Source organism: Homo sapiens, chromosome 1 (assembly GCF_000001405.40).
Source record: "Homo sapiens chromosome 1, GRCh38.p14 Primary Assembly".
Classification (NCBI taxonomy): domain Eukaryota; kingdom Metazoa; phylum Chordata; class Mammalia; order Primates; family Hominidae; genus Homo; species Homo sapiens.
In genome coordinates, this window is record NC_000001.11 from 145,112,910 (window position 1) to 145,126,676 (window position 13,767).

Below are 13,767 nucleotides of genomic sequence, written 5' to 3' on the forward strand. Positions count from 1 at the left end.
AAGCTCCTGCTCATATGATTTATTTATGGTCTTACTTAGCCGGGATACCTGCTGGGTAACTAACTACATTGTTATGTGCCCTAGATGAGGGCAGAAGTGACTGATTTGAAGGTTGAATAAACTCATGCAGGGTCTTAGGGTATAAGTGACCTGAGGGCATTGAAAGAATCATTTGCCACAAACCAAGATAAAAGGTGCTTCAGGAAATGCTATTACTCCCTCCTGGAAAACGTTTCCAAAAATCTTTCACACCAACCATTAACACTGACAGAAGGCCATCAAAAGAACCAATGGAATGAGTATGGAATAATTTGTTTTGCGATTTGGTTTTTTGGGTGTGTGTGTGTGTGTGTGTGTGTGTGTTGTAACCTCAAGTTCTTAGGTGAGCATAATCTATAAGAGAAAAAATATATATATACTTCTTTGGTTAACTTGCTCAACTAGAGAAGAAAAGTTTAATACTAGACTAGGAAATGTGGCAAATTTAAAATTCAATAGAGTTCATCTGGTTTCCGTTCAGCTCATGCCTTCAAAGGCTATGATTGACCTAGGGTCTCTCTGAAAAGCAAAAGCAAGACAGAGGTGCACTGATTGAAGCAAGCCCCAAATGTGATTCTACTCCAGCTGGGGAATATTTCAAATTACTCAACTACCTTTGGTTAACTGGATTATGGGAAAGCCAATTCTAAACAGAAAGCTGATTAATAAAGTTTTATCTAAAGAAATATATTCATGACACTAGTGTGGTTTGAGGGTTTTTTGTTGTTGTTGTTGTTTTCTTTAGAGACAGGGTCTCGCTTTGTTGCCCAGGCTGGAGTGCAGTGGTGTGATCATAGCTCACTACAGCCTTGAAGTCCTGGACTCAAGCAATCCTCCTGCCTCAGCCTCCCCTGTAGCTAGGACCACAGGCATGCACCACACCTGGCTAAATGACACTGGTTTGTGGGGCTTTTTTTGTTTGTTTGTTTGTTTTTGAGAGAGGGTCTCGCTCTGTTACCCAGGCTGGAGTGCAGTGACATGATCTCAGCTCACTGCAACTTCCACCTCCAGGGTTCAAGCGATTCTCATGCCTCAGCACCCCCGAGTAGCTGGGACTACAGGCATGCACCACCATGCCTGGCTAATTTTTGTAGTTTTAGTAGAAGGAGTTTTGCCATGTTGGCCAGCCTGGTCTTGAACTCTTGGCCTCAAGTGATCCACCAGCCTCGGCCTCCCAAAGTATTGGGATTACACGCATGAGTGTGAATCCAACACTGTTTTTGGGATTTTTTTTTTTTAGATGCAGTTTCACTCTTGTTGCCCAGGCTGGACTGCAATGGTGTGATCTTGGCTCACCACAACCTCCGCCTCCCAGGTTCAAGCAATTCTCCAGCCTCAGCCTCCCAAGTAGCTGGGATTACAGGCACGTACCACCACACCCAGCTCATTTTGTATTTTTAGTAGAGATGGAGTTTCTCCATGTTGGTTAGGCTGGTCTCGAACTCCTAACCTCAGGTGGTCTCCCGCGTTGGCCTCCCAAAGTGCTGGGATTACAGGCATGAGCCACTGTGCATGGCCTGTCAACACTGTTTTTAAATAAAAGCAAATTACATTCACTCTGGTAAGACCAAAGCAGAATCACATACATGGATTTAGGATACACCTTCTACTCCTAGTATAATTCCTAGGCCTAGAAGATCCATCTATTCTTTGGTCCTCTTTTAATATTTCATTCAATTCAACACACCTGTATTATTCTCCAATAGTGTGGCAAGAATTGTACAATGACATGCTCACACTTGCCTTCAGGGAGTACACAGTAAGTTGAGGAAAGGATAGAACTCTGTGAGTCCATTTATTTCATTGGGTTAAGTGATTTAACAAAGGCATGCTTAAAGTGCTATGACTCCAGAGATGAAAGAGCAATCATTCTGAGTAGCAGGAGAGAGTGGGAGTTGAGCAAGAGAGCATAGGAATTGAGAAAGCTACTGAGAAGAAATGATACTTGAGGCAGGCTTTGAAGCAGTTAGGAGTTGCCAGCTGGGATGAGAGTTTTAAGCAGAGGGAATAGTGTAAACAAATTGATGGGAATTTAAAAGTATCTTGCTTATTTGGGAAGTTCTAAGTTGTCCCCCATACCTTCCAAGACATGTAATAAAAATTAATTCGGCCAGGCATGGTGACCCACACCTATAATACCAGCACTTTGGGAGGCTGAGGAGGAAGGATTGCTTGAGGCCAGGAGTTTGAGACCAGCCTGGGCAAGATAGTGGGAACCCATCTCTACCAAAAAATACAAAAATAAGCCCAGGGTGATGGCACAGGCTTGTAGTCCCAGGTACTTGGGAGGCTGGGGCGGGAGGATCACTTGAGCCTAGGAGGCTGAGGCTGCAGTGAGCCATGATTGGACCACTCCGCTCCAGCCTGCGTGACAGAGTGAGACCCTGTCTCAAAAGTTAAAAAATAAATAAATTTTTTTTAAAAAAAGAATTAATTACAAGGTGAAGTTAACAAGGAAGGTTATATGTTATGAAGAATATTCTACTATACGATTGTAAGTTTAGACTTGGTCCAGTAGCAATGTGGAGTTATTGAAGTTTTTAAGCAGGAGAATAAAATGATCAGATTGAGGATGATGGCTCTGATGGTAAAGTATAATCAAGTTTAGCTTTCCTAATGTCCTTTCTTTGATGCACTTAACAATTTGACCATGGAAATTAAACTTACTGCCTTTACCCTAAGAACCCATGTAGTTCTTCAAGTTCTCGGAATTTCTTGGGTTTCATGGAGCCTCTAGTCTGCAGTAGGGCATTGCCTTTTTTTTTCCCCTTTTCCATTTTGTCATTCTTGCAGTTCAAGGAAGGGGCAGTGAGTCATCAGCTCACCCGCCATGACATTTCTGCTACTTTATCTTTCTCCTTAAGCTAGTTTCTCAACCTCAAACTTAGCCTCTGAGGAGGCATCTTGGGTGGAGCCTAATCTTAAAGACATACATTTTAAATAATCAATGGTTCTGAAAACCAGGTCCTTAAGTATTAGCAATTGAGAGAGATTACCCAAAAAGAACACTCTTTTGACCTCTGAGTCACATGTGGCTGGTTAAGAATAATCTATATTGTTTAACTTTAGTGAGGAAGTGACCATGATATATAAACCATGATCTAGAAGACAACTAACCACAACACAAATACGGAGTGAGGGGAGGTAGGTGAGAATATGGATCAAATAGTTTTGATTCAGTAGTGAATTGCTCGATGAAAGCTTTCCCTATTTTAACATTCCTGCTTATAAAAGGAAATAGTTTCCTTTTCTGCCTTTTTTTTTTTTAACTTTAAAAGCAGCCTAAACCATAGTTTCTTTCTTGCCTGGTATTGAGCGTATGCCAAATCTACCCTAAACTGCACAGATGGAAAAAATTAGTCTATGTCTGTGGTACCTCTGGGGTTGAATATTTTTAGTACCGAAATCTTTAGCTAAAGATTCCTTTTTCCAACACTCTCAAAGAATCCCTTTATTGTCATCCAATGGAAAAACTTACTGAGATAGAAATTAACTATATCATGCTTTTGTATATTCCTTTACAGTTTATTAAGAGCTTTCACATGCAGTGTCATTTACTCCTCAGAATAACCTTGGGAGCTATCATTCCCATTTTACAAATTAAGAAAGAGTCCAGGCATGGTGGCTCACGTCCGTAATCCCAACCCTTTGAGAGGCTGAGGCCAGAGGATCACCCGAGGCCAGGAGTTTGAGACCAGCCTGGGCAACAAAGTGAGGCCTAGTGTCTACAAAAATTTTAAAAATTAGCCAGGTGTGGTGGCGCGTGCCTGTAGTCCAGCTACTCAGGAGGCGGAGGTGGAAGGATCACTTGAGCTGGGACATCAAGGATGCAGTGAGCTGTGATTGTGCCACTACATTCCAGCCTGGGTAACAAAATGAGACCCTGTCTCAAAAAATAATAATAATAAGTAAATAAATAAATGAGCAAATTAAGAAATAAAATCCTGATTGCAATACCCAGAGAGTTGGAAGAATCTGAACTTCAATCAGGCTTCTCATCTTAGTTTAGGGTTTTCTTCTACCTCCCTGACTCTAAACTGCTGTCCATTTTTCCCTCACTAGCTATAAAACTTAGGAGAAATTTCCTTTGACTTTCAACCTCAAAGCCCAGTTATTTTTCATTAATCAGTTAGTTCAACGAATATTTATTCAGTGCCTACTATGGGCAAAATAGATGCTGAGGCTGCAGAACTAAGCAAGACAGAATTGCTGCTGTCATGTGGAGCTGACTTTCTAGTTGAGGGTAAAGAAGAAAATGAGTTACCATTGATAGAGGGCTTACTGTGTGCCAGGCATTGTTCCAAGTGCTTCACATGTAACCCCTAACTGATGGATCCTATCCTCCCCATAGAGATCAGGAAACTGAGGCACAGAGAGGTTAAAGAACTTGTTCGTGGTCACCCAGCTAGCAAATGACACCACTCTAAGATTTGGAAAGCCCAGAATTAAGTAGCTTAATAACTGTGCTTTCTTTTTCTTTTTTTCCTTTTCTTTTTTTTTTTTTTTTTTTTTTTGAGATGGAGTCTTCCTCTGTTGCTCAGGCTGGAGTGCAGTGGCGTGATCTCAGCTCACTGCAACCTCCACCTCCTGAGTTCAAGCAATTCTCCTGCCTCAGCCTCCTGAGTAGCTGGGATTACAGGCACATGCCACAATGCCCGGCTAATTTTTTTGTATTTTTACTAGAGACGGTGTTTCACCATGTTGGCCCAGCTGGTCTTGAACTCCTGACCTCAAGTGATCCACCCACCTCGGCCTCCCAAAGTGCTGGGATTACAGGCATGAGCCACCGTACCCGGTTCTTTTTATTTTTCAATGCAGTTGTCTTCCATTCAAATAAATAAAACAAATAAAAATTTAAAAATTAAATACAAATAAAATGTAAAAATAAAAGTTTTCCATTAGCAATCTTCCTGTACACATCTTTTCCTATTAGAGCTTAGTTGATTTTTGTTTTAAATTGAGATGGGGACAACAACATCTCCCTTTTCAGTAAGGGAGATTTGGTTTATCTGTAAACAATAAAAATGCTAGTCTTATACACTATAGAGAAAGAAAAAAATTATGCAAAACTCTTACTTTGCAACTTTGCTGTTCTATCTAGAAACAAAGTCTTTTTTACAAGTCCAGATTTTTATCTTACAAGCAACAAAAGTTTACAGCAGAGTAAATAAGCTCTTTAAGCTATTTGTATGTCTCAAATATTTCGTAATAAAAAGTGAATTAAATGACTGCCTTTTGCAAATTGCTCTAATCTCAGCCTTCTTTATAAGCTTGTATTTAAAAATCTATTCATATGGAATTTCAGAAGCAGCCTTGCCTTAAAAGAGCACTACTGAATCTTCATAACAAGATTATGTATTTGTTATGTGGAAAGCAAAAATAGGTATCAAATTCATATTCGAATTTTGCATTTTGAGACTTACAGAGGAATGGGTTGACAAATAGCTGACGATTAATTGGATCTGCTAAATATGGGCACCAATGAAGTGTGCCCACCAGAATGCATCTCTACACCTCCGTTCACACAAATCACTTCCTCTGGAAAGGCGCCCGTGGTAAAAGTAGGCATATGGGAATGATTCACTTGGGGAAAGTTGTACCCAGAATATCAAAACAGTTTGCTTTCTGTCGCTATATTCTTGCCATAATTTTTCTACCCAAAGGAACCACCTGCTATTATGGCTGTGACACCTGAAAAGCTTTCTGTATATTGCAGGAGATTGCTCATGTGTGGGTGGGTTTTCAGGCTGTTCAGTGGTATTTTAAAAAATAGTTCTTTGGGGAAAATATTCTCAGAGACTGGAACATTGCCTTGTCTTATCAAAATTGCTCTGTAGTCATGTTCACAAATACCTTCAAACATTGAGCTACAGATGGAATTCAGTAGAAGACATACTGAGCTAATTTCCTTTGTGTGACATTACCCAGAGAAATCAAGCTGTCAGTATCCTGAAGAACAAGCCCTCAAAGTGAGATGGTGGCCAAAGCCATAGGAAGCAGAAATGACTGAAGGGCTTGCCCTTCAAAACCTTCTTCCCATTCTCCCAAATTCATCTTTTCCAATTAAAATTTATTACAAAAAAAAACCAAATAGACTCAGCTTGTCTGACTTGGGATGGTTGTACACTTATAGTAAAGATGGTAAATATTGGGCTGAAAAAAATCCTGAATCCTAGATCTTTCTTGATATTCCAGAATATATTCATAAAAGAGAATTACTGAAAGAGAGTTTTAGGCATACAGAATTTCATACTTTGGGCGAACTAGAGACAGTCATTTCTAAGTTATGCCTTTGCTTTATCAAACTTTAGTTCAATCATTTAACAAATATTTAATGAGCATCTCTTTTGTGTGAACACTATTGTGAGCGTTACGCAGTGAACAAAGCATTTTTAAAAAAATTCTTTCTTCTATGCCTACCCACAGTGCCTAGGCCAAAAAGCTAAAAGTGGGCTGGGTGCGGTAGCTCATGCCTGTTAATCCCACACTTTGGGAGTCCAAGACAGGAGGATTGCTTGAGCCCAGGAGTTCGAGACCATTCAGGGCAACAAAGTGAGACCCCAGTCTCTAGAAAAAATCAAGAAATTAGCGGGGCATGGTGACATGCACATGTGGTCCCAACTACATGGGAGGCTGAGGTGGGAGGAAGGTCTGAGCCCAGAAGCTCAAGGCTGCAGTGAGCCATGTTTGCACCAATGCATTCCAGCCTAGGCAACAGAGCAAGACCCTGCCACAAAAAATAAACATAAAAAATAAAAAAGCTAAAAAGATTCTCTTGCAGCTAGGGGTTTATATAATTTACTTTTTGCTAGTTATATGCATTTGCATAAGTCTTGATTTCAGAACAAACTTCAGTGGGGAAAAGGTGGTCACAGCACTTTATCCATTTTGCTATCTAAAATTGATCTGTGGTATGATTCTGAAGCCAACAGACTTGTGGAGACTTCCTGATGTCCAGAGCATGACTAAGATAGTGTGTTTCTGAAGCTAGAAAGTGGTTGATGGCTTCTTGATCCTTAGCTTTCAGACTATGGTAGGAGCGGCGATTCTTCTAACAGGGCAGTTCTGTGGTGTTATTCTGTGAGTCATTCCTGGAGGCCACATTTACAGCCTGCCCCACCAACCCTCCAATGGTTTTGCAATCCCTAAATTTAGTGACATTTCAGTTATCTCTTGCTGTGTAATAAGCACCCCAAAAACTTAGTTTGGCTGGGCAATTCTGCTGATCCTGCCTGGCTCCACAGGCAGGTGGGTGTATTCAGCTGTCAGTGGCCCTACTTTGTCTCACTCGTATGTCTAGGATTTTGGCAGGGATGCCTTGAAAGGCTGAGACCTCTCTCTCCTATGGTCTCTCATCATTCAGTAATCTAGCCTGAGCTTCCTTACAGGACGGCTGCTTTCTTCTAAGAGGGTGAGAGTGGGAGCCGCAAAGCCTCTTAAGGCTAGGTCTGGAAGTGACACAGCATCAGTTCTGCCTCTTTCCATTGGTCAGAATTAAACCGAGGGCTAGCCCAGATTTACAAGGAGAGAAAAATAGACTTCATCTCTTTATGGGAGTTGTGGCAATTGCAAAAAGGTGGGTGAAACAGGAAGGATTTTTGTAACATCAATCTACCACAACTGTTTTGAATCCCTTTCTGCTTCAAATAGCTAGAATGGCTTCTGTTATCTGCAAATGAACTCTGGCTGATACAGAAAACATGCAGTGGGACCAGATAAGAGGCTGCTATCAGAAGTGTGTACATTAGCTGATAAATGAGACTTACCAGCCCGTTTCTGGATTATTGTCAGTTTCTTTACTGACGATACCCTATTCCATCCCGACGTGTCCTTGTTTGAATTGATTGAAATCTTTCATTTATTTCCACTAATGCCAAATGTGTAGCTGTGAGTATACAATATATCAAGTCTATAATATAATATATATTATATAATCAAAACATCATATTTTGATAGCAGCCTCCTATCTGGTCTTTGAGATAGAGGAAGATTTGGGGCATATTTTGAAAGTAGAGCTGACAGTACTCTGATGGATTGGAAATGAATATGAGAGAAAGTGAGGAAGATGCCAAGGATGCAGTCAACAGTGACTTCAAGGTTTTATGGTAATCATGGTGCTATTTATGGAGATGAAGAAGGACAAGTTTGGAGAGAAAATTCAAGAGTTTGTTTTTGAATATGCCTATTAAATGTCAATCAGGCAGTAGGGTATAGGATTCTGGAGTTTTAGGGAAGAGGTGTGGGCTGTGGATATAAATTTGAGAGCCATCTGCATACAAAAAGACATTTAAATATGAGAGACTTGATTTGATTAACAAGGGAGAGGTGTAGGGAGGGAGATACTGAGCACAGCACTGTTTAGACTATGGAAGATAGATGAGTAGGCTCCATTTCAGTGTATACAGGAATCCCTGGAGACACTTGCTAACAATGTAGATTCCAGGGTCCTAGTCCCATAAATTCTGATTCAGGTCTAATATTGAGGCCTGGCAATCTGCATTGTCAACAATGCAGCTTATCCTGAAGTGGGTAATCTGGGAATATCCTTTGAAAAACACTGAAATAGACTACCAACATCTATGAAAACATTTACGGGTGCTTAAATTTCAGGATGTTTCTTTTCTTTCTCCCCATTTCCTCTCATCCATTATGCATGAAAGACTTCTGCAAGATGCCAAGAGGGGAACTTGGGCTTTTTCTTTTTTCTAATTGCCTTTTACAGAGTGATGGAAAGTTAACTACGAACTCCTGCGGGGAAAAGAAGAGACGATCTAGGCCTAAAAATCGTGTCTACTCTCCAAGAGAGGTATATTCTCCTTTAAACACCCAATTTGATGCCCAGTGGTAACACTTTATGAAGCAAGACCAAGAGCAAAGTCAACATTTCTTTGTTCCTTAATTATAAGCAGCATGTGCACCTTGCATATCTCAGCAAGTGATAAACAGTCATACTCCCCCAAATATTGAATGGAGGGTTGAGAAGATTAGATGAAAAACAAATGCTTAACAGCCTGTGGTAGATTTTGCTTTCCTATCTCTCAAAATTAATGCTGATTAAGCCTCTGTAAAGGGAAAATGCCCCTCCCTGTTTATACCATCATTTATACAAGACTGAATTCTTATTGACAGTGAACCTGTATTTCTAAAATATATAAATATGAAAATATGTTCACTCCTATCTAGTCTGAGATTGTGAATCAAATGTTGTGTTGGTGGTAAAATTCTACAGACATAGTCTCCTCTTTTGCAGTTCAGTGGTTGCAAGAGGGCCTGAAGCTGCAGTAGCCATGTGCTGTAATAATGATTGCATTGATTAAGTGCCAATTACTTCTGGAGACTTTTCAAAGGCCTCTGCTGCAGAGTTGAAACTAGGCTTTCTGTCTGATATTAGATACATCTCTAATGCTAGGTGATGGCTGGTTTGGGATCTCTGGCAATTACTTCTGTCATGTACTTTAATCAACAGCGTGCCTACTATTATAACAAGTCCCCACACCCACTGTGAAGCATTACTCAGACTCTCTTTCCCTTAACCCCCACCCTGCTCACATGAACCTGAGCTTCTGATCCGTAGATGATTAAGTTGCTCTGGTGAATCACCCTCAGTGGGATGGGACAGCCTTCCAACCAGAGCCAGATCTTTACCACAACCAAGTGCTTGTCTGGAGGGATGATGAATCCTACGGGCCCAGCCAGAGGTCAAATTACCTGTCTAGCTATTCTGCTGGGTATCAGTCTTCTGGTAGGCATCCTATTTAGCACATGCTTCCATTAGCAAATATTTAGGAAGGACCTATGCTTGCATATAGTTCCCCGAAAAATTATTTGCAACTAAGTTTTGGATCTAATCACCATCATTGGCTGATTTTGCCACCATCTTTGAAATAGTTGGCAGACTGTGATAGAACGTTGATGGACTGAAAGTTGAGCTAAAAGAGTGACTAAGTCACCAACTTGCTGTGTGACCTTGGGCATTTATTTCAAAACAAGGGGATTGTGCAATACATTTTCTGAGATCCCGTCCAACTCTAGCACTCGGTGGATTAATTTCATTTTTGCAGTGAGCTTCTTATTCATTTGCCAGAGGCAATTGAACTAATTCACTAGGGCTGCCATTCAAAGTTCTTCAAACTGGGTGACTTAAGCAACAGAAATTTATCTTCTCACAGTTCTGGAGGCTGGGAACCCAATATCGAGGTATTAGCAGAGTTGGTTGTTTCTGAGGGAAGTGAGGAAGGAATCCATTCCAGGCTCCTCTCCTTGGCCTGTAGAGGGCCATCTTCATCTTCATATGGTGTTCTTCCTTTGTGTGCATCTGTCTCCAAATTTCCCCTCTTTATAAGGATAGCAGGCATATTGGAGTAGAGATGCCCTAATGACCTCATTTTAACTTGATTACCTCTATAAAGACCCTATCTCCAAATAAGGTCACATTCTGAGGGACTGAGGGTTAGCACTTCAACATATGAATACTTGGGGGACACAATTCAACCCATAACAAAAAGTAAGTATTAAATATAGGTAAGGAATAAAGAATAATGCCTTGGTAGCCTTTAAGGCTGGTAACTGACAGGGACATGGTCAGCCAGCAAGTAAGCATAGATTGTCAAATTTATGTTGTAACTCTAATGGCTTAAACCTACATTAACACTAATTTTATCTCCACATATGGATATTGTGTAAGAGTCAGCTCTGAATTCTCTTCTACCTGAAATTTTTCAGCGTCGCCCTGCTTTCCAGTGTTATTTCATCTGTTTTTATAATTGGATGTGAAACTTCTTGAGAAAGGGTCCTATGACTCTTTAACCAATTATTGTTCAAAGGAGTCCCCAAAGTGTTAAGCAGGTAGGTCATTGTTTAATTAAATGACTCTGTTGAGGTTTGAGTGTGTTTGGCCCTCAGAGGATATAATTATAAGTAGAATATGCTTTCTTGTGCTGATATGGGTCTCCTGATTATATAATGTTATTTATATATTAAGAAGAGAGAAAAGGAATGCATTAGATTTTGATGACTTACAGCTACACATCTGGCATTAATGGAAATAAATGAAAGATTTCAATCAATTCAAACAAGGACACTTTGGGATGGAATCGGGTATCGTCAGTAAAGAAACAGACGATAATCCAGAAACTGACGATAATCCAGAAACTGACTGGTAAGTCTCATTTATCAGCAAATGTACACCCTTCTGATCACTGATCTCTTTTCCAGAGTCTCTCTAGCCTGGAAATCCACTAGGTGGAGCAAAGGATCAAGAATTACCTGCCCAAGAGCTCTCACAAGCAAATATCAACCAGTACTGCAACTATACCTTTTCCTCTATAAAACCTAGACAAAGGCTGGGGGAAAATTGAGTTTCTGAAGCTGCTTGAGATCAAATGTTCCCTGTTCATTAAAATGGACAGTGGCTCAAGGAATAAAGAAACTCAGATTTGCTGAGCTGGACATGATTACTAAATACACAGGAGGCACACCCATCTTGGACTATTTCCCCATGGCTTGGCTCTCATTACGTATTTCCTTTCTGCTTTCATTGGTGGCAGATGGAATTTGGGATAGACTTCTTATCCAAGCTCCTGTATTCGAAATATCCTGTGCTTAGATCATACATCTTTTTCCCGCCTACTCTAGGCATCCCAAAGTTCTAGTATCAACCTGGTTTCTATTTAAATATATTCTCTTTGATTCCTGGCCCTTGGATTCTAACATTTCCTTCCTTGGATTCCAATCTTGTCTTTTTTTCTGCACTTATGTGTCGGTTAGCTGAGCAGAAGCCAGGTTCTTATTTGAGGATTTTTAAGGTGTAAAAGGAGACTGTCCTTGTTTCCCTATCAGTTCTTTGTCCCTTGTGCAAAGTGTACTCTGTCTGCCTTTGCATTCAAACTGCAGTTGTTAACTGTCCTATATCTCAGTCAAAATCTGCTACCAATAGAAGGCATGGTTCATTACAATCATCATTCCATAACATGCAAGTCCAAACACTTGCAGAGGGAAACTTGAGGTAGGAGGTAAATTCCAAATCCAAAGTTATTGTTTTTCATGGCTATGACTCTGTGGCAGGATAATCTATTGAAATATTAATTTCTTTGTCTACTTTCTGTACTTTCTCTACCCCTTTGATCTAAGTGAGTTAGGTAGGCCCTTAGTAATTTCTTACCTTAGAGATATTTTGCAGAATGATCTAGCTGTCTGTAGATAAAACCTGAACTCAATGAAGATAGTATTATCAATGTCTTTGAAGGCAGCAGGAAAAGGAAAGGAGAAAATTTCCCAAGAATATAAGGAAGTTTTCAGTCTATGGGTGAGGGTGAGTAGGACTACACATGGCCGCAGGAGAGTACTGGACTGCAATGGACATGTCAGTGGTAACCAGTATGTATTGACAACTGGCAGGATCTCTGCCAAGCTTTGGTGCCATGTAAGATTCCAGGACCTTGAAAAACCCTTGCAGTGGAGAGTCCAAATAATGACTGAGATTACAATTTCTGCCAATCAAGCTGGATGGGGACTCAGAGTCAGAGTTAAGTAGGTGAAAAGCAAATGAAGAAGTGAGATATTTCTTGTACATCTGAGTTTATCTGAGTTTCCTATTGACTGCACTCAATTAAGAGTTCATCATGGAGGTCTGTGACCTCAGAGCAGTATAGAATGGTGGGTAAAGTATGGTCTCTGGAAACAGGCTGCCTGGGTTCAAATCTGAGCTCTGCTACTGATTAGGTATGAATCCTTGTACAAGTTATTCAGCCTCTCTCTACCACAGGTTTCCCCCTGTGAAGTGGGGATGATAATAGCACGTATCTTACAAGGTTGTGGTTGAAAAATCAGTACCTGACATATAGCAAAATTGAATGTAAACTGTTATTTCTATAGGGTTTTTTGCATCACTATAACGGTTGTTGAAATTTAAATTAATTTTTAAAATACACAATACACACAAATGGTACAAAAGGTTTTGAAAGAGATACAATGAAAGATAAAGGTGTACAACAAAAAATTGTTCCCTAATTTTCCTCCCCAGATGCAACCTGTGTCACTAATTGTATATTAAACAAATGAAACTCCTTACATATGTTTCTGTACCTTCCCCCTCTTAAAAATACATTGTGAAAATTGTTCTTTGATAGTATTCCATTATATCGATATATTCTAGATTATTAACTTATTGAACTAGTCTTCCTCATGGACTGGTTTTTTACTCTTACAAATAATACTGCAATAAAATCTTTGTACCTACATCTTTGAGCATGTCTGGAATATCTGTGGGATAAGTTCCTAAAAGTAGAATTACTGAATTCAAGGCTCTGTACATTATAAAATCTGATAGATACTGTCAAATTGCCCTCCATACAGCAAATTATACTCCCGAGGCCAAGGCGGGCGGATCATGAGGTCAGGAGTTTAAGACAAGCCTGGCCAACATGGTGAAACCCCATCTCTACTGAAAATACAAAAATTAGTCGGGTGTGGTGGCAGGAGCCTGTAATCCCAGCTACTCGGGAGGCTGAGTCAGAAGAATCGCTTGAAACTGGAAGGTGGAGGTTACAGTGAGCTGAGATCGTACCACTGCACTCTAGCCTGGGCAACAAGAGTGAAACTCCATCTCAAAAAAAAAAAAAAAAGAATGCCAGTGGAGGAGGTTGTTCACTTTTCTGATGTTTGCCAATCTGTTAAGTCCTCTTATAATTTGTATTTGCATTTATCTTAATAATGAGATTGAACATATTT